Source organism: Homo sapiens, chromosome 14, assembly GCF_000001405.40.
Source record: "Homo sapiens chromosome 14, GRCh38.p14 Primary Assembly".
Lineage (NCBI taxonomy): Eukaryota > Metazoa > Chordata > Mammalia > Primates > Hominidae > Homo > Homo sapiens.
In genome coordinates, this window is record NC_000014.9 from 102,496,074 (window position 1) to 102,514,549 (window position 18,476).

Sequence of the window (18,476 nt, forward strand, 5' to 3'; positions counted from 1 at the left end):
GCGGCAGCGAGGGATCTGCCAGTTTCCACTGGGTGGCCCACTCGGTCCCATGGAGGCCGACCAGGAGGGCAGGGACCCAAGACCACAGATGTAGCAGGGAAGACTGTGGGTTCCAGAAAAGCAGGCAGTGCCAGGCAGTGGGGGACAGCCAGCCCCTCGGGGCTCGGGTCACCCACCAGCACTGCTGGTGACCAGAGGCCCAGATCCTCCAGACAGTGCTGTGCTCGCGGGCATGGAGGCCTGGTCCAACTGAGGGGTGGGAAGCCCTGGGGCAAACTGGAGTTGCCGGTGGACAGCAAACAGGACACTGGAGGGACTTCCTCCTGTCCTGTGAAGAGCAGACAAAGGACCGGAGATGCTGAGCATGGACAGAGGCTGCCCAAGGACCAGGGCAGGGCGGCAGTCTTGTGCCGCGGCCTGGTCAACGCAGATGTTGCCTGCCCGGCAGCACATTCGGGAGGACAGCTGTGCCTAGAGGAGAGGGGCCTCAGCTGAGCCAGGATGGTGAGGGCAGCACAGGCAGGTGGCAGGGGCTCCTGGGCTGGCGTTTTTGTTTCTCACAGTGCCCACCATGGTCCTTCACAGCCAGGTCCGCCGCATCTCTCCTCTCATTCCTCCACTCTCTGTTCACCTGGGCCATCCCTGCCCTTCTTGGCCTCCTGCTGGAGTCCATGCTGGTATCTGCTGGGCTGTCCCTCAGTCTGGCCCACCTGACATTCTGGAGACAAGTGACCATCTCCCCCGTGAGACTGGCACTAGGGGCAGGACGTGGCCTCTCTGCCTCCTGCGGGGCCCACACTGGCTGCTGCATGCTGCCACTAACATGTCCCCAGTTCCGGAAGTCTCCTGTCCTTTCTCTTGTCACCCAACTCCTGCCTTCCCTGAAAGTCCCTTCCCGCTTCCAGCCCGCCGGGGTCAGCTTGGTCAGCGTCCATTCCAGCCCCAACGACCAGATGCTGTGGGTGCTTGACAGCAGGTGGAACGTGCACGTGCGGACCGGGATCACCGAGGAGATGCCTGTGGGGACCGCCTGGGAGCATGTGCCAGGTAGGAGCCTGCAGACAGGGCCTGTGGTGCCGGCCAGCCGGGGCTACCATCACTGGGGGCTGCTGGGCGCTCCCTCCAGGCCGCTGTCTGTGAGGCAGCCTTTGTGCTGGGGCTGTGCTGTCGCCGCTGCTTCCTGGGCCAGGGGACAAGCCTCCCATCATGTTCCTTATCAGGGGAACCCAGGCCGTCCTGCTGGTGCTTTTGTGGGAGGGCAGTTTGCACACTGCCCAGGCCCTTCTGTCCTTTGACTTCTGGCTTTCGGTGGCTTTGCTGGCCCTGCCAACTGGTCGTCCTTTCCCTCGGCTCCTGCCCCAAGCCCAGCCCATCATGGGCACTCCGTCCCCGCAGGGACCCTGGTGGAGGTGTGCAGCGTCACAAGAGTCGGCTTGGGAAGCAGCGGCCCATCCCGTCCATGGCAGGGGCTCAGGAGGGACCCTGTCTGCCCACAGGGTTGCAGGCCTGCCAGCTGGCGCTGAGCACCAGGACCGTGTGGGCCCGCTGTCCAAACGGAGACCTCGCCCGGCGGTACGGCGTCACAGACAAGAACCCCGCCGGGGACTACTGGAAGAAAATTCCCGGCAGCGTGTCGTGTTTCACAGGCAGGTGCCCGGGGCCAGTGGGCTTAAGGCCCCTTGGGGTTCCCAGGGCTCCTGTGGACGATGTCGGGGGGCTCTCAAAGAAGCCGACCCCACTGGGCTCCAATCTCTCAAAGCAAGAACTGAGGGCAAAGCCAGGAGTGTGTCCCAGGGAGGGAAGGGGCTGGACACCTGGGCTCTGCCAGAGTCTCCTGGGCAAGGACAAGGTGCTGTTGACATCCACTTACAGCTGAGGGTACGAAGTTCACATGGAGATGGTGGCTTGTCCAGTGTCCCCCACCTAGAATGTGGCAAGCCCAGACCTGCGCCCAAGCTCCCAGCTCCATCTGTGCCCACCCCACAGGCTGTGTGATTGACAAGTATGTGATTGGCTCTTGTCCCTGCAGTGACTGCGTCAGATGAGCTGTGGGCTGTGGGCCCGCCCGGCTACCTCCTCCAACGGCTGACAAAGACGTTCAGCCACTCGCACGGCACCCAGAAGAGCAGCCAGGCCGCCATGCCCCACCCTGAGGACCTGGAGGACGAGTGGGAGGTCATCTGAAGGAGCCCTGGCCGAGTCACGCGGAGGGGCCCGGCGTCTGTGGCGGGCACAGGGGCTTCAGAGTGACTCCCTGGTGGACGCGCTGCCTCAACACTTGTCCAGACACCTCTGGCCAGGTTGGACCCGCACACTTACTTTCATCTATGTTGGTTTCTGTCTCGTTCCAGAACCCACAGCCTCCACCCGTGGCTGGCGTGATTGCTGCAGCAGTGGCGCCTCCTAGCTCAGGACAGTGGCGACTGCCCGGCTGCATGCACTCCGATTACCCACGTGCTGCCGTCCTGGTCTCATCCACAGATAGCTCCAGCTTTTGTTGGTGGGAGTGGTCTCCGGAGGCCTCCCAGAACCAAGGGTAGCCGGGCAGCTGGTTTGGCCCAGGGCCTCCTTCCACATTAGTAGCCCCAGGGCCAGATGGAGCCAAAGGTCAGCTCTCTGCAGCGCGGGATGTGCTCGGTGATGGCTTTGTCCCATCATAGGGGGGTGTCCCCCCAGAGACAAAGCTGCAGAGCACATTCCATGCCAGACGCTCTGGCCAGGAAGCTGAGGCCGGGCTTGAGAGGAGAGCGCTGGCCATGCCAGGAGAGAACCCACGCACATGCACACCACAACACACAACACACCTCACCTCACACCACAGCACACCTCACCACACCACACCGCACTGCACCATACCTCACCACATCTCACCACACCACAGCACACCTCACCACACAACACACCACACCCCACACCGCACTGCACCGCACCGCACCGCACCGTACCTCGCCACATCTCACCACACCACACCACACCACACCTCACTGCCCACACACGGCGCAGGCTGCCCGCCTCCTGGAGAGCACACTTCAGCTGAAACAGTAAAGCCTGATGGGTGCAAATGGAACCTGGATGTGTGCACGTGTGTCCCAGGTAGGGACGGCACAGGAGGGTGCATGGGGCGTGGGGGAGCTGAGCAAGGGTCGCTCACTTAGAAATGTCTTTGGAATGGTGTTTAACTAATGCTGCTGGCGGACATCCTAAAACCAGATGCATCCTCAGAGGACGAGTCTACTAATTATTGCCTTTGTTGTTGTATTACAAATCTGCATAAAATACCTCATTTCAAATCAAATCTTACAAATTTAGAAGAGAGATATGTTTTCCGAAAACAGTGGAAGCCCTTTGTTCCTTCCCGGGTTTGTCCTGAGCCTGCACTGTCCTCGCCTGCAGCCTCAGAGGGGCAGGCATCCCCGCACAGACTTGACTGGCAGGGCGGTCACGGGACCTGCGGGCTGGCTCCGAGTGGCAGCCCATGCCTTCTGCGGGGTATGGGTTGACACTTGACAGGTTGAAACCAGTGCCTCTATGGACGGCTGCTGTGGCCCCTTCAGACAATGGGCAGTGCCCACCCCGCCCACTGGCATCTGCGTGTGAGGGCTAGGCCGCCCTGCCACACATCCCGCCCCCTCCCGGAGGCAGCTTCAGGACAGGACACCAGGCTGGCTGCTTTTTTTAGCCTGCCCCTGGCCCAGGCCCAGTCCTTGGTGTCAGGGAGCCCCCAGGCCGCAGGTGGAGGGTGATAAAATATGTTCTCTGACAGGACCCAGCCAGCCACATAGGTGGAGGTTTTCCATGTCCAAATGAGGTCAAGATGCCGAAATCCCAGATCTGACTTCACACTTCCCTTTTCTAGAACCTTTTGTAAAAGTTGGTGGCAGCAGAGGCAGCCCCAGGCCGGGCTGCATCTCTCTGTGTCTGTTGTGCCTTGCCCGGCGCCTCACGGATGGCAAAGCTCTCCTCACCCATGGGACTGTAGTGCAATTAAACCCGCGTCTAGGTGATGCTTTTAAAGTTGTAGCTTCGTGCTTTGTACAGTTTTCTTTCTGGTTTTAATTTTTAGTTGTGCTTTGAGTCAGTGCAATAAACTAGACTTTTTCCAAACCTGGCCGAGTGTGGTGCCTGAGCTGTGAGAAGTGTCCTCAGCCGACACTCACGAGGGCAGTGCAAGGGAGAACCTGCCAGCCCAGCCCCACCACAGGGAGAGTGCGTCAGCAGACCTGTCCTGGCCTGGCTGGTGTTGAAATACACACCGGTTTGCCCAAGTGGCTGTTATGGGGGAATGGCCGCTCCAGAGCTGGCTGTACCCCATGGTAGCCTCTGAGGAGGACGCTGTGGGGTGAGGTCCAGGGCTGCCTCCTCATGGAGCTGTGTGTGAGCAGGCGTTGGAGGGGTTCGAGCCCCTGGTTCTGTATCTTCAGCCAGCAAACGAAACCATATCGCAAACCAGAGCTGCTGGAAACCAGCACACGCAAAAGATGACGCCCAGCACAGCAGCAGGACACACCATGTGCCAGGAAATGACCTCAGCAAGAAACCTCAGGCCGTGTGAAGAGCAGCAAAGCTTTCCAGAAGGCATAAAAGGAAACTTGAATAAAGGAAGATATGTTCCACATTCCTGGATGGAGGACTACACACATTATGGAAAGACCTCATTCTTTCCAAAGGAATTTATAGGTGTAGCTTGATTTCAGTTCAAATCCCCACTGGGATTGTTTTGTTGGGGCAGGCAGGGAGGAATAATGTTAGTACCCACAAATGCCCATGACTGTGCCCAATGTGCTTCTCACCAGAGCCCTGCAAGGGGAAGTCTCATTAGCCCCTTGAGACTCAGAGAGGTTAGGTAACTTGCTCAAGGTCACACAGCACTGGGACTGGAAGCCAGCTCTGTAGAACTGCAGACCTGTGCTGTTTGATGCCTCCTCACTGTCCCGTCACTCCTGGGAAGAAGAAACGGGTGAGAACTGCTAAGTGATGACAGGTGGAGCCCCAGCAGGGGCCACTCTATTGAATGGCATGGCCCAGACCCTCGGAGGGCCAGGCAACAGGCTAGCAAGGCCCACAGGGAGGGAGCAGAATGGAGAGGGCATCTCAGATGCGCTTAAGGAGCGGCGGGGGCGGGGCATGGGGGGTGTCACAACTAATGTGGCCACTGCTTCATTCTCTGGGCAAAATAATATTAAATGGATTAAAGAATCTAAAACCAGTGGGAAAACTGTCTGATTTCTGGATGGCAAAGGCTTTCTAAACTCAAAAGTGATAGGACAAGCTACAGAGGAAAATAAGTACATAGATTTGATTTCTCCAAAATACAGAAATGCTGCTGGGCACAGTGATGTGCAGTTATAGTCCCAGCTACTTGGGAGGCCAAGGCAGGAGGATTACTTGAGCCCAGGAGTTTGAGGCTGCAATGAACTATGATCACACCACTGCACTCCAGCCTCGGCGACAGAGCAAGACCTTGTTTCTCAAAAATAAATAAATAGAAGGAAATAAATGTAAAAATGCTGCAAATTAAAAACCTCAAAGAAGGGAAATAATTGCAACAAATGGGAATTGATGTTGAATATTTACCTTAAAAACCTATACAACAATAAGAGGAGTGCGCCCTTCAGCAGCATGTATACAAAAATTGCAACGATACAGAGATTAGCATGGCCCCTGCACAAGGATGACTCGCAAATTCATAAAGCTTTCCATAAATATATTTATTAAAAACCAATAGGAGGAGCACTTCGAGTCGAGTGTAAGGGCCCTTCACAAAAGCAGAAGGAACACTGGCCCAAACCCCCAGCACCCCGGAAGCAGAGGTGAGATGGGAGCAGCTTGGGAGCCCCCCATTGGCGCCGCCCTACTGGGGAAGCCGGTCCGTACGTAGGCCTTGCATCTCGCCACCTCCACTTCTGTCCTCAAGAACAAGTCCTAGGTCAAGGGAAACAGCACAGCCTGTTTATAATTAGGAAACACTTAAAACAGCCTGGCATTTGGGAACAGCCATGTTAACGTGAGCAAATTCCTCTCATGAAATAGCCTGCAGCTATTAAGAAGCACGTGTGTGCAGGAAGCGGAGGCGCAGGACCTCACCGCGCCAGCGTGAAGTTCCCGGGCATGGTCATGAAAGCGTGGTTCTGTAAGAAATCAGAGGGAGAAAGGGAGAGAAGGGGGAGGGAGACAACCCAAACGTTGGAGGGTATTTGTTGTAAACTTCAAACTTTTGGCAGGTTTGAAATTTTTCATAACTCCGGGGAGGAGCAAGAGGGGTGAAAAGAAACAAGTTCTCTACTTGTGATCAGCAGCTGGTCATAGTGGTTGCCTGGAGTATATGCCTTTTTGTATCCTTTGAATTTCCAGCCATGTAAATGTATTATTTATTCCAAAAATAAAGCAGATTTACATTTTAAAAATTCAGTTGTCTCTAACTACTCTTTGTTATCAAGGCTGGTTGAGTCAAATATCACAAAGTAGACACCAATGACTTCTTAAAAATCATATTTACAAAGTACAATGGGGGAAATGCTTATACTACATTAAGGTTAAAAAAATACTAAATTGTGTAACTGATCTGGTTTCATATATATATAAATATACACAGAAAAAAATGTAATATATATCTGCACAGAAAAAAGCTGAAAGAAACATATGCCAGAATGCTAGCAGTGCTTGTATGCGTGCAGATGACGCACTCAGTCAGCGCCTTTACTTGTACGTGAGCGCTTAGGGGCCCTGTCTCTGGGGACCATGTGGGGCGGTGGGGCGCTTGAGACAGTGTTTCCCTGCATCGTGGCCGGACCTCTCTACTCAATCCCCAGTGTTCTACAGTGAACATGAATTTTATAAGCAGAAAGAAATTACTTTTAAGAGCCAGGCGCAGTGGCTCACACTTGTAACCCCAGCACTTTGGGAGGCTGAGGCGGGCGGATCACAAGGTCAGGAGTTCGAGACCTGCCTGGCCAACATGCTGAAACCCAGTCTCTACTACAAATACAAAAATTAGCCGGGCGTGGTGGCCAGCGCCTGTAATCCCAGCTACTCCAGAGGCTGAGGCAGGAGAATCGCTTGAACCCAGGAGGCGGAAGTTACAGTGAGCTGAGACCACACCATTGCACTCCAGTCTGGATGACAGAGCAAGACTACATCTCAAATAAATAAATAAATACATAAATAAATAAATTACTTTTAAGAATCACCAATAGAAATCTGTCTTTCCATCTTTTTTTTTTTTTTTTTTGAGATGGAGTCTTGCTCTGTCGCCCAGGCTGGAGTGCAATGGCGCAATCTTGGCTCACTGCAACCTCCGCCTCCTGGGTTCAAGCAATTCTCCTGCCTCAGCCTCCTGAGTAGCTGGGAGTACAGGTGCCTGCCACCACGCCTGGCTAATTTTTTTATTTTTAGTAGAGACGGGGTTTCATCATGTTGGTCAGGCTGGTCTCGAACTCCTGACCTCATGATCCACCCACCTTGGCCTCCCAAAGTGCTGGGATTACAGGTGTGAGCCACCGCGCCCAGCCTTTCCTTCCATCTTGATTGCAGTGGTGATTACACACATGTAGACATTCATCAGAACTCATCAAAGTATACACTTAAGTCTGTGCATTTTATTACATGTAAGTAACACCTCAATCTGAAAAGTATCAGGGCAACACCACACACTGCAGAGGGGCAGGGCTCCTCCGGCAGTTACTCACTTCCCTTGAAACAGAAGCTCAAACATGGAGTAGTCTTCTGTGACTAAACTTGTTTTCCGCCCTCCCAACTTCCAGGAAGAACCTTCTTCTGAATAGGATTTGAGGTAACTTAGGAAACTGCTCTCAATACGGAATTTTAAAGTTGGTGAGGAAGTCGACAGAAGGGGAAGTCACAGTAGGAAAATCAAGGTACTATCAGGATGAAGTCAGCACGCAGAGCAAGGCCAGCGAGGCCCAGGCGCCAGGCCTTGGTCCCTGCCCACCTCACCCAGGCCAGCCAGACAGCACGGACTGCCCTACAAGGTCACCTCAGAGAGATGGGGGTGTTCTCTCACTGCTGGCTTTTGATGAGCCCAGGAGGGCTCAGCCTTCACTATCCTCCCTAACAGGCATTTGGGGTGCAGAGATGCTGACGCCTGAATAAGGTTGGGATTCGGGGCCCTTGGGAACACTGGGCACCTGGTGGGTGGGTGGAGGGGCAGGACCGGCTGCAGCCATGTTTCCCTTAGAAACAGACTGCTGGAATTAACGAACTAAACAAATGAACCAAGGTGCTTCACCCCCCAAAAAAGTGAGTTTTGTTCTGCGTGGAGCGATTGCCTTTGGGAAGCCACCAAGGCCACCTGCCAACAGGCAAATGCTGTGCTGCCGTCTGCCTGGCTGACTCCGGCCCTCCCAGTCCTGCAAGCTCATGGCCAGGACGATAACGATGACAGGGGCAACACCATGGTCCTCGCTGCCCTTCCTGGGGCAGGAGGGCCCAGAAGACTGATAAGCTAAACCCAGGGCCTCCCTCGGCTGCTTATCTGCCCAGCACCTTTCCTCTAGGTCCTCTCCTCCCACCAGTACAGGGGTCTGGGAGGGGGTTGCAGGGGGTCCTGAACCACAGATCCCTGGAGACTCAGTGGGAGCAGCTGTACTAGGAATCAGGCACCACTCCGCTGCTGTAAGTCTTCGTGAGAGCCACTGGCCAGCTTCCTCTGACTTCCCTGTCCCCTCACCCAAATCGATGACATCAGGAGCTAATGGCCCAGGCTGCCCTCCTGCTGCAGTGCCCATAATTCTTCCGGCAGGCCCCGCCCTGCACTCCACGACCAGCCTGGGTTCTTCATCCTGGTAACCTGACAATGGATTTCGTGGGGCCCACTCTCAGTGCCCGCCAGCCTGTGTCCTGCCTGGCCAGGCAATGAGTACCGGCGGCAGGCAGCTGCCTCACCCCTGCATGACCCCCCCAGCCCAGGGGACTCAATGGCGCTGTCATCAAAGGGGCAGCTGTAGATCTAGGAGGGACGTGGAGGGGGCTAGCCCTGGGCCTCTGGCATTGTGGAGGCTGACCTATAGAGAACAGAGCTGGAGCTGGGGAGACATGAAGTCTGCACATCTAGACCCCAGTGAGGAGCCCAGGCTTTCTAGGCACAAGCCCCATGGGCTCCCCGGGCCCAGCCCCTAAGAACCACGGCAGCTGCGCCAGGCCACTCCTGTCTCCACTTCCATACCCTCCAAAGGAGAGGCACCTCCCCCCCCCATGGCATCTCCAATCTGAGGACCTGCCACCTCCCAGAGGACCGGAGGCCCTGATGCCCCAAGAATTGGGCTTGGAAAGATGTTAATATCCACTGCCCCAAGTGCCAAGGTTCAGAGGCACTGGTCCAGGACACACAGCAGCGGGGAAGTGGAACCCTCACTCCAGCCTGCAGTCTGGGCTCTGTCACTGTGCTGTCTCTCCATCCTTCCCTCCCCACAACCAGGGCTGTAGGCCCACCTAACACACCACACACTTCCCAGAAACAGGAGTCACATCCTTTTCAGGGCTGGTAGGGTGGCTGAAGATGGCCCAAAACCTCCTGAATGGAAAAACCTTGATGGGGAGACTGAGGGCCAAGGCAGAGGTTTGTCCAAGGTCACCCCCAGAGTGGCGGATCCAGGACCCTGGGCAAGATCTTCCTACTGTCCAGGCCTCTCCCCCACCTCTCTTGTGTGGCCCAGCACCCTGGACTCCTCCATGCCCAGGTGTGCTCCCCCCAGGCACGCTGGGGGCAGGGTGGGCAGCAGGTGCCCCCCACCAGGATAGTGGTTCTTCCTCCTGCAGACCTTCAGCCCTCTGCTCCTGGCAGGACACTGTGGCCCTCCTGCCCACGTTGGTGCGGGTTGAATTTGACGGCCCAGCAGAATTCCCAGGCAGGGCAGCCTGGCTATCCTCCCTGGTGTCTCGGCTCTGAGAGCGGAGACCCAGCCTCCCAGCCTGGAGTTGTGGTGAATTCGCAAACAAGTCTCCATCTCCAGAACCTTCCTGAAGAAAACAGCTCTCCAGGCTGGGGCAAGAAGCCTGTCCCTACAGTGATACAACCACCCCTCAATAACCCCGGGCACCACCTGGCACCCACTGGGGGCCACCAGGGAGCCCACCAAGCCCACTCCGGGCTTGGACAGAGGGCAGGCCTGGAGGAAGGCACATCCAACCCCACTGACCGGCATGCACCTGGGGCCAGGGGCCTGCTGCCACTGCAGAGGTGAGAAGCAGGAGCAGCAAGACCTGGTGCCCATTAGTCATGGGGGAAAAGCAAAAGGGGGAGACAGGGACAAATCCAGGCCTGGGTGGGCTGCCTGTCAGGGGGAGTGATATCCAAGGAGGAACTGGTGGTCAGAGTGGGGTGGGGGATACCCGGTACAATTTGTTCATGCCTCAACACCAGCCACCGCGGGCCTGCCAGCCCTGTGTGCCCTCCCTGGCCCGGAGTCCACAGGGTGCAAAAGGCTGACCGCACAGGACCTCCCGTGAGAACCCTACGCTGCAGAGCTCGTTCTCTTGGCTTCCAGGCCTTTTTATACGCTGTCCTGCTGCTTGGACATGCCAGTCCCCACCCCTGCACCTACCGAGCTCCTGCGGCACTCAGCTGTCACCCATCTGGGACGCACACCTGTCCGAGGCTCTAGATCAAGGTGGGAGGTTAGTCCTCACTCCCTTCAGGGGCTGGACAGCGAGCTGAAGGCCCGAGCCCAGCTGCACCCAGAAAACCTGCCACTTGGAACTCACCTGACCATCCAAGCCCAGCCCCCAGTGCATGCGACAGATGAGGCAGAGATTGTGCCGTACAGAGATCAATATATATAAAGTGCCGGTACAACGCTCTGAAAAATAGTTTTGTCCCAAAATCCAGCGCCTAGGGTGCTCCGGGCCTAGCCTTTGCCAGTGAGGTCCAACGGCTGCAGGAATGGGGGCAGCGGCAGCTCGTCCAGGGCCTCGGGGAAGCGGCCTGGAGAGATGGCGGTGACCAGCACCTGCATGGCGCGCGCGAAGAGCGAGGGCGGCGCCAGGCCCGCCAGCCACTGGAACTTGTCCTCACCCAGCAGCCGCTGCCAGCGCGGCCGGTCGCCCAGCAGCTCCTGGCGGGCCGAGCCGGCGGCACCCACGGGGGTGTACAGCGCCAGGAGGTCCAGCAGCAGCAGGCGGCGCTGGCGCGGCTCCCCGGGAGCTGAGGCGGGGGCTCCGGCGGCGGAGGGAGTGGCCCCGGCGTCGCGGCCCAGCTGGCGCAGCAGCAGCTCGAGAGGCGTGAGGCCGCCGCCGTCCCGCAGACCGGGCGAGGCGCCGTGGCCCAGCAGCAGGAAGAGGCACTCGGGGCGCGCCAGCTCACAGGCCACGTGCAGCGACGTGCCACCGCCCTCCACGCGGCTGCAGCCACGCCGGTCCAGCACGCGCGCCCGCTCCTCGGCCGGGAAGTCGCGCAAGGTGCGCAGGATGCGGCGCAGAATGCCCACGCGGTTGTAGCGCACTGCCAGCGCCACGTGCGGCCCGGGAGCCGCGCAGCAGCGGAAGCCGGCACTGGGCGGTGCGAGCGCGCGCCGCGGGAACGTGGCCAGCAGGTAATGCGCGTACGCTTGGTGGTCGTGCACGAGCGCGTAGAGCAGCGCCTCAGAGGGCGAGTAGGCGGCGGCGCGCCCGCGCTCGTCCCAGTGGAAGGCCTCGCTGGCGCGCATATCCTCCAGCAGCCACACGGGTAGCAGGTCGCGCACCGCCTGGTAGAAGGCGAACGACGACTTGCGGCACTGCTTCTGCGCTCGCGAGCGCGCCGCGCCCGAGGCCTCGGGCCCGCCGTCCGCGCCACCCCCAGGCCGCCGCGCGTCCCACGGCATGCTGGCGGCGGGGCGTTCCTGGGCCTCAAGGCATGGATCCCGCGAAGGCACACCTGCGGGGAAAGGAAGAGGCCACGGTGAGGCGCGGGGAAACTGGGGAGGCCCGGGGACTCCCCTCTGCCCCTCACACAGCCCCTCCGGTCCTGGCCCACCAGGCCTGTACCTACCTCCAGCCTCGGCCAGGCCCTTCCAGTCACCCTACAGCTCCATCTCTCCGACGCCCAGAACCACCGCCTCCATCCTTGATCTAGCTGTACCTGTTCTCCCTCCTTGAAACTGACTTGCTCTCTGGCACCTCTGCTGGAAATGCCCTTGCTGCCCATGCCCTCAAATCTCCCCTCCCCTCTCCAACCCAGGGACCCACTGGAAGAGCTTCTGTTCCCACCTAAGCCAGGTTCATACGACCCCAAATAAAGAAAAGGCCAGGGAGGGGATGAGAAAGCTTGGGCCCACATCTCAAGCTGAGGCAAATCCACTCTCCAGCCCAAGCGCAACCCTGACCCTGATCTCCGACCCCAGACCACTTGGAGGCCCCTGGAGCCTCTTCCTGGGCTGTTCAGAGGCATGATCCAGACTCAGACCTACCTGGTTCCTGCACCGCGATCACCTAGTTCCGGGGATGTGGGTATATCACAGTCCCTGGCCGAGCCTCAGCTTTATCTGTAAGAAAGGGGAGGGGTGGACGACGGCTGTGCGGGCGGGGTGAGCCTGGGGCGTGGCACCAGCCCTCTATCCAAACATGTTTGCTTACACGTTAGCTCCTGGGAGGAGATAGGAGGGTGAAAACAACCTGGAGACCGGTGTGCACCGCACTGCACAGTCTGCCATCCTCTTCAGGTCCCATACCTCTCTTGATCTCCCCGACTACTAGATGAAGCGGGTACTGCCATCCCACTTTCCAGCAGGGCACAAGCTTCTCCAATTCTCCAAGGTCAGCAAGCCACGGCAGAGCCAGGCCTAGAACTCAGGTCCCCTGCGTCTCAGTTTGGGCTCATTCCAGAATTGGTGGGGACCCCCAACCCACAGGCAATCGAGCTTAGGCCCTGACCCTGCCCTCTGAGTCCCCAGCCCCGACCTGAGCCTAGGCGTCTGACCTCTGGCTCCGTCCCAACCTCCCTACTGCCTTCTTTCAAGGGTAAGCCCTTGGTCACAAGGGGCCTGGGACAGAAGGCAGGCCGCGTCCACACACACTGACTGGGTCACTATCACTGGCAGTAACTGAGTTAAAGAGAGCGGCGCGGTGCGGGTAGGCTGTGGCCCGTGGGCAACACCGTGACTGGAGCCCCTTCCCCAAGCCTGGGCCTCCGGGCCCCAGATATGCCCTGTGCCGGCACGCGTGGGGCGCCGGGCGGGTTACGTAAAGTTCGGCCTCCCCACGTCACCGGGCAGAGTCACGGCCGCGGCTCGTGAATAAGGGGGTTGGGCCATCGAAGGCAGCGCCGCGCCCGGGGCCACCCGCCACCTCCTACCCGTCCCCTCCCGGCCTGCACGGCCAGACGTCGGGCGGCGGAGGGTCGCGGGGCCGAGCGGGGCGTCCGCGCGCAGGTGGCCGGCGCAGCGAGGGCTGCACCTGCGTGCGCGTGTGCCGGAGGAGGAGGGGGCGGCGGCCGCGGGCGCGGCGCGGGGGACGGGGACTCACCATGGGGGGCGCGGGGGCCACAGGCCGGGCGTCCCCGCCCCTGCCGCGGACCGGAGCGCGCGCTGTCCCCCGCGGGCGAGCGGGCAAAGGTCCCACGACGGACGCACGGGAGGGAGCCACCGCCGCCCGCGCCCGCCGCAGCCGCGCTCTGAGCCGCCGCGGCCGGATCGCAGGGCGGCGGTGCCGTCGCCGGCGGCGGGCGGCGGGCGGCGGGCGGCGGGCGGCGCAGTGCGGCCCCGGCCAGGCAGGACAGCGGGACCGTCCGCCGCCGCCATTGGCCCGCGCCGCCGGCCCCCGCCACCACCCATTGGCCGCCGCGCTGCACCATTGTTACGTCACTGGCCGGCGGGCGGGGCGCACCGCTGGACCCGCGGAAAACTTCGGAGAAACTTGAGGGAGCGCCGGCGGGGAGAACGGAGAGGAGGGGCGGGGCCGTGGCGAAAGGGGCGGGGCGTTGATGGGCGGGGGCGGGGCTCCCGGAACCCGAGCTGCGGGCGAAGAAAGGCTCCGAGCTCCGAGCTGCCCTAGCCCGGGAGGGCGCCGCTGCTCTGCGAACTCGGGCGCGCGCGTAGGTGGCCCGCCCTCCGCCGTGCGTGACTTTCCTCGTCGCGTCCAGCTCCCCTTTTCTTTGACCTTACGTGACCTTGGGAAAAACCTCCAGGCTGCTACCCCATCTGCACATGGGAGGGCCGGGGGTAGGAGCCGCGACCCCTAAGGGCTCCACCGCCTTCTGCCCGGCCAGGGTCGTGCCTGGCGCGCCCCCGCTCCAGCTGACCCGCGCAAGGGAGGGAGGGGCGGACGGATGGGGACAGCTGTTTAGGAGCGCGCACTGCGCCCATCTCGGCCTCAACACTCATGTTTCCACTTCGTTTCACGACCACCAGCCACAGTGGACACGATGATCCCCAGTTCACCCGCCAGCAAATCAGGGCTCAGAGAGGTGGCCTCAAAGAGAGGAGCGGCCAGGAGGGAAGCCGGGGGTTTGCCCTGCGGTTCTTCCCACATCTGGGCGGGATAGATTCGATTGGGCCTCGGCCACCCCCACCGTCTCCGTCGGGGGTTCCAAGGTTTGGGGTCATGACCTAGGGGGCTTAGGAGCCTGGGTCCATCTCAACTAATTTATGGCCTCACTCGCCCCCAGCGGCTGGGAATTCTAGGCCCATTTTACAGATGTGGACGCAGATCTGGAGAGGGGCAATGACTGCTCAACCCCCCACCCATCCTCCCAGACACGACCTTCCACCTGGAATCCCCCCACACACGTTCTCAGAGGCCAGGCAGCCGGGGTCTCATGGTGAAATCCCCACATTCCATGCAGGGGCTCTTTCTGGTTCCTTCCCTAGAATGCTGTCCCTGCCCTTCCAGTACTATCTCACCAGGGAGACCCTCCCACTCCCCCACTCCGCTCCAACCAAGCAAGGCCTCTGCCTCGCCCCGGTGGGAGGGGCCTCGTCCAGAGGGCACGCCCCTGCACACACAATCAGCCCTGTCCTGGCTTCTCTGTGTGCCCCAGCCAGTCAGTCTGGGTGGAAGTCTTACCTGGGCCCTCTCAACAGACCTAGGCAGGCCTCTGTCCCCAGCCCAACGAGCTCAATCCCTTAAGCACACACGCCACAGAGCAGTCCTGAGAGGCCAGGTGGACAGTACCATGAGGCAGACAAAGCTGTGAGGCCCAGAGAGGGTCAGGCCACCCCAGCCCAGGTAGGCACTCACATGTATCCTGCCCAGGCTGCCATGCATGGACCCACCAGGGGGATGACCAGACCCCACCAGCCCTGCCCCACCTCAGGGCGGGGGACGTTCCAGGCCACGCCATCTCTCCCAGGGAGTCCATGGCAACTGCCAAGCTTACAGCAGCCAGGTTGTCAGCAGGAGTAGGGGTATAGAGGGCACTGGGCCTGGCATCCGCACCCGCCTTTGCCTCAGCTCCACATGTCTCCTCCTGTATCTAGGCCTATCTCCCTAGGGCTTCTCCCATCTGCCGGTTCTGGATGCCTCTGAGTACGATGGTGGGGAGAGCAAAGTGAGTGAAGGTCCTGGAGTCAACAATCGGCCTTTGGGAGCCCAAACCCTGGGGGACATCTTGGGGAGATGGTGCCCATGTGGGCTGTCTGTGGCTCAAGGCTCCCCTGCTCTCTTGCCCTCTTCGAAGGCTGGAGTTGAGATACAGCCGTCTCCATGGCTACTGGTGGAATGAGGGTGAAAGGGCACCAGTGGATGCCAGGCTGTGCACTGGGCCTCAGGGCGGGTCTCTCTCCACCCCTTGATGTCTTCCCTGCCCCCGTGCCCTGACCTGCCCTCCTCACTGGGGATCCCAGAGGGTTTTTTTTTTTCCCAAGACAAAGTCTCATTCTGTCACCCAGACTGGAGTGCAGTGGTGCAATCTCAGCTCCCTGCAACCTCCACTTCCCAGGTTCAAGCAATTGTCATGCTGCAGCCTCCCAAGTAGCTGCAATTACAGGCATGCACCAGCACTCACAGCTAGTTTTTGTATTTTTAGTAGAGACGGGGTTTTGCCATGTTGGCCAGGCTGGTCTCGAACTCTTGGCCTCAAGTGATCTGCCTGCCCCAGAGACCTTTTTCTAAAAGCCAAGTCTGACCCTGTTTCTCTGCTGCCTAGAAGCTTCCTGTGGACATGGACATAGCCACAAAGTCCAGATGGGCAGAAAGAGGCATTTCTGGCAGAGGGCAAAGCAGGGGCCAAGGTCTGGAGTGTGACACAAAGGCTGCAGAGGCCACCTGACTGGCCAGGTCCCATGGGGCCTGGAATGCCCGGCAAGGATCCTGGATTTTCCCCTGAGGCCCAAGTGGAGGGGTTGGGAAGTGGTTTCACTAGTGAATTATTTTAGACACACATACAAAGAGCATCATGATGCCTGGGAGCCCGGGACCCAGTTGAAGGAGCAACACACGGCAGATCGGAAGCCCTGCGTGCCTGTCCCCTCCCTCCCCAGCCAGCCTCAGTGTGAGTCCGCGTGCGTCTTTCCCACTGTAAGTGCAAGTGGCAGCAGACATAGTAACACTCCCTGCCATGGGGCTCCACAGCACTGCCTCACCTCAGCCTCTTGCCTTTTTCTCCTGAGGTCACTTTTAGATCCAGCCCCAGGGGAACCCCCTGCTTTGGGTTGCAGCCGCCATCTCTGCTGCAGTGTCTTCTGATGAAAGCTGTCCCCTGTGGGCATGAGTGTGGACATGCTGCACCTCCTAAGGCAGCAGTGCCAAGGCTGATGGTGCCCTCCACGGTGGTTTCATGGCATCGCTGCTGCACTAGAGGCTGCCCAGGGACGTGTGAACAGCTGTGAAGGGGCAGGTTCCTCAGGGAGGGAGGATGGGCTGCGGGGAGGGTGGCTGGGGCAGGGGAATGGGCAGAGCATGACTTCCAAACACCTAGGAAGCCCCAGGTGGAGGGCGGAGGGGGGTCTTGCCATCTTGGGATAGGAGTTGACCTTTGACCCCATCATGCTCCTGCTGGGACCTGACCCAGGCACACTCCTCTTCCTCTGGGAGGGCTTGTCCCACCAGGGCAGGGGTCTGTGTGTGCCCAGGCAGGGAGCCACAGGCAGTAGGGGGAGGCTGGGGCTGCAAGCACAGAGGCCCCGGAAAGTGTGTGAGGACGCTGGGGAGTGGGAAGGGCCCTCGGAGGGGTGGTATGGCCGGCTTAGGTTTTCTCGACAACTCTAGTTGAGTATGCACTGCAGGGAGACGGAGAGGCCGCAGCCACTGAAGCCAACTGTGCTGGAGCAGGCGGAGGGCACCAGGGGTCCCTGGAGAGAAGTGCCGCCTCCTGCCAGGCCCCTGACCTATAGGTGAGGGTGTGAGCAGAAGAGGAGAATCTAGGAGGCCTCCCGGGTATTAGGGGAAAGCTGAGCACCTGGAAGATGGCAGAGCCAAGAGGTGTCCATGGCCCTGGAGATGGGGTCATGAGTATAAAGAGGGCGCTTGGAGTGTGAGGCACCAGGGATGGGAGGTGAGAGGCCCGAGGCCCCAGCCGGGGCTTCCAGGAAAGGAGGTGGGAGAGGGTCTTGGGGCCAAGAAGGCACAGGGCTTCCCGAAGCCAAGGTGTCCCAAAAATAAGGGAGCGGTCGGCTGGGACAGATTCAGATGTGGTGGCTCACACCTGTAATCCCAGAACTTTGGGAGTCCGAGGCGGACAGATCACCTGAGGTCAGGAGTTCAAGACCAGCCTGACCAACATGGTGAAACCCTGTCGCTACTAAAAACACAAAATTAGGCCTGGTGGTGCATGCCTGTAATCCCAGCTACTCGGTAGGCTGAGGCAGGAGAATCGCTTGAACCCAGGAGGCGGGAGGTTGCGGTAAACTGAGATCGCGCCATTGCATTCCAGCCCGGGCAACAAGAGCAAAACTCGGTCCATAGGTCACAGTGCCCTTTACAGAATGTCATGGGGTTAGGGGAGAAACCTGTTTGGAGAGAGTTCAGGAGCAAGCGGGGAGCGGGATAGAGCTGTGAGGACAGGAGAGGAAGGGGCAGGCTTAAAGAATGAAACGGTGGAGATAACACACGTGCACATGCATGTATGTGCACTCAGACACGTGGGTAGGCCCACACATGCATCTGTGCATCATGGGCGGCACGCTGTGTGTGCATGCGTGTGCGTGGGCAGCATGCTGCAGCCTGCATTTGTGTGTCCTGTGTGTCCATTATGTGTGCAGTGCGCTGATGGGCAAAAACGCTGACGATGCAGGCCAGCTGATAACCTGGAGGAGGCCGGCTGGAGTGGGGCCTGCCACACGTGAGGGGTACCCTGGGCTGGCGACATGGGCAGTTCTTCTTGGGGGGGGGCAGCATGTTGGGCACAGACACAGAGGAGGGCACAGGTAAAGGTGCTCGGAGACATCTGCTCTGGTGGCTTCTATTTTCAAGGCCATCTGCTGAGAATAGGAAGGGGTGGATGGTGGGGAGGGGGCTGGAGGAGAGGGCTTCATTTGCTGACTACACTGAGATCCTCTCTGACCTGAGCCCCTGCCACCCAGCCAGGCCTGCGGAGCCTGCCATCTGCG

The 18,476-nt window shown here is 59.5% G+C and overlaps 2 protein-coding genes, 1 long non-coding RNA gene and 1 pseudogene across 10 annotated transcripts in view, besides 7 other annotated features; 3 read left to right on the forward strand and 1 right to left on the reverse strand.

The window, feature by feature from the left end:
- The window catches only part of TECPR2 (tectonin beta-propeller repeat containing 2), a 139,537-nt gene extending 133,133 nt beyond the window's left edge, over positions 1 to 6,404 (forward strand). The window contains exons 18-20 of the mRNA NM_014844.5: positions 906 to 1,047; positions 1,497 to 1,646; positions 2,030 to 6,404. Coding sequence (NP_055659.2) covers positions 906 to 1,047; positions 1,497 to 1,646; positions 2,030 to 2,184 — 447 coding nt within the window. The 3' untranslated portion in view covers positions 2,185 to 6,404. The remainder of the gene's footprint in view (positions 1 to 905; positions 1,048 to 1,496; positions 1,647 to 2,029) is intronic.
- RNU6-244P (RNA, U6 small nuclear 244, pseudogene) lies at positions 5,603 to 5,701 on the forward strand (annotated as a pseudogene).
- On the reverse strand, positions 5,694 to 13,703 carry ANKRD9 (ankyrin repeat domain 9). Of its 3 annotated transcripts, none has more exons than NM_152326.4 (4): positions 13,456 to 13,703; positions 12,568 to 12,773; positions 12,402 to 12,476; positions 5,694 to 11,869 (listed from the first exon to the last, which is right to left on the reverse strand). In NM_152326.4, the coding sequence occupies exon 4, from the start codon at positions 11,814 to 11,816 to the stop codon at positions 10,863 to 10,865; it is 954 nt and encodes a 317-aa protein (NP_689539.1). In that variant the 5' UTR covers positions 11,817 to 11,869; positions 12,402 to 12,476; positions 12,568 to 12,773; positions 13,456 to 13,703; the 3' UTR covers positions 5,694 to 10,862. The 3 variants fall into 3 exon arrangements, with proteins under 3 accessions (NP_689539.1, NP_001335580.1, NP_001335581.1); NM_001348651.2 differs by having other exon boundaries at positions 12,568 to 12,779; NM_001348652.2 differs by lacking the exon at positions 12,568 to 12,773.
- Positions 12,491 to 12,652: a silencer, noted in NCBI's record as "fragment chr14:102974901-102975062 (GRCh37/hg19 assembly coordinates)". NCBI's record gives its function as "represses an EF-1alpha promoter that drives an FKBP-Casp9 reporter gene in an ReSE screen in HepG2 liver carcinoma cells {active_cell/tissue: HepG2}" and the evidence as "EXISTENCE:reporter gene assay evidence [ECO:0000049][PMID:32094911]".
- Positions 13,647 to 14,086: a silencer, noted in NCBI's record as "silent region_6117". NCBI's record gives its function as "represses an Ori minimal core promoter by ATAC-STARR-seq in GM12878 lymphoblastoid cells {active_cell/tissue: GM12878}" and the evidence as "EXISTENCE:reporter gene assay evidence [ECO:0000049][PMID:35858748]".
- Positions 13,647 to 14,420: a biological region, named in NCBI's record as "H3K27ac-H3K4me1 hESC enhancer GRCh37_chr14:102976187-102976830".
- Positions 13,777 to 14,420: an enhancer, noted in NCBI's record as "H3K27ac-H3K4me1 hESC enhancer chr14:102976187-102976830 (GRCh37/hg19 assembly coordinates)". NCBI's record gives its function as "activates a minimal SCP1, AML or CMV promoter by ChIP-STARR-seq in naive H9 embryonic stem cells {active_cell/tissue: H9 hESC(naive)}" and the evidence as "EXISTENCE:reporter gene assay evidence [ECO:0000049][PMID:30033119]".
- Positions 13,970 to 18,281, forward strand: LOC105370679 (uncharacterized). 6 transcript variants are annotated; one of them, XR_007064352.1, is made up of 4 exons: positions 13,970 to 15,478; positions 16,305 to 16,741; positions 17,158 to 17,261; positions 18,129 to 18,281. It is a non-coding gene; the product is annotated as an uncharacterized LOC105370679 (long non-coding RNA). The 6 variants fall into 6 exon arrangements; XR_007064354.1 differs by lacking the exon at positions 18,129 to 18,281 and having other exon boundaries at positions 16,305 to 16,446; positions 16,539 to 16,741; positions 17,158 to 17,568; XR_007064355.1 differs by lacking the exon at positions 18,129 to 18,281 and having other exon boundaries at positions 16,305 to 16,446; positions 16,550 to 16,741; positions 17,158 to 17,568.
- Positions 14,247 to 14,296: a silencer, noted in NCBI's record as "silent region_6118". NCBI's record gives its function as "represses an Ori minimal core promoter by ATAC-STARR-seq in GM12878 lymphoblastoid cells {active_cell/tissue: GM12878}" and the evidence as "EXISTENCE:reporter gene assay evidence [ECO:0000049][PMID:35858748]".
- Positions 14,421 to 15,066: an enhancer, noted in NCBI's record as "H3K27ac-H3K4me1 hESC enhancer chr14:102976831-102977476 (GRCh37/hg19 assembly coordinates)". NCBI's record gives its function as "activates a minimal SCP1, AML or CMV promoter by ChIP-STARR-seq in primed H9 embryonic stem cells {active_cell/tissue: H9 hESC(primed)}" and the evidence as "EXISTENCE:reporter gene assay evidence [ECO:0000049][PMID:30033119]".
- Positions 15,067 to 15,710: an enhancer, noted in NCBI's record as "H3K4me1 hESC enhancer chr14:102977477-102978120 (GRCh37/hg19 assembly coordinates)". NCBI's record gives its function as "activates a minimal SCP1, AML or CMV promoter by ChIP-STARR-seq in naive and primed H9 embryonic stem cells {active_cell/tissue: H9 hESC(naive and primed)}" and the evidence as "EXISTENCE:reporter gene assay evidence [ECO:0000049][PMID:30033119]".
- Positions 18,282 to 18,476: the final 195 nt, after the last annotated feature.

What these genes read in the sequence shown, in the direction of transcription:
- ANKRD9 (NM_001348652.2), bottom strand. Translation starts at nt 11,816, where the DNA reads ATGCCGTGGGACGCGCGGCGGCCTGGGGGTGGCGCGGACGGCGGGCCC.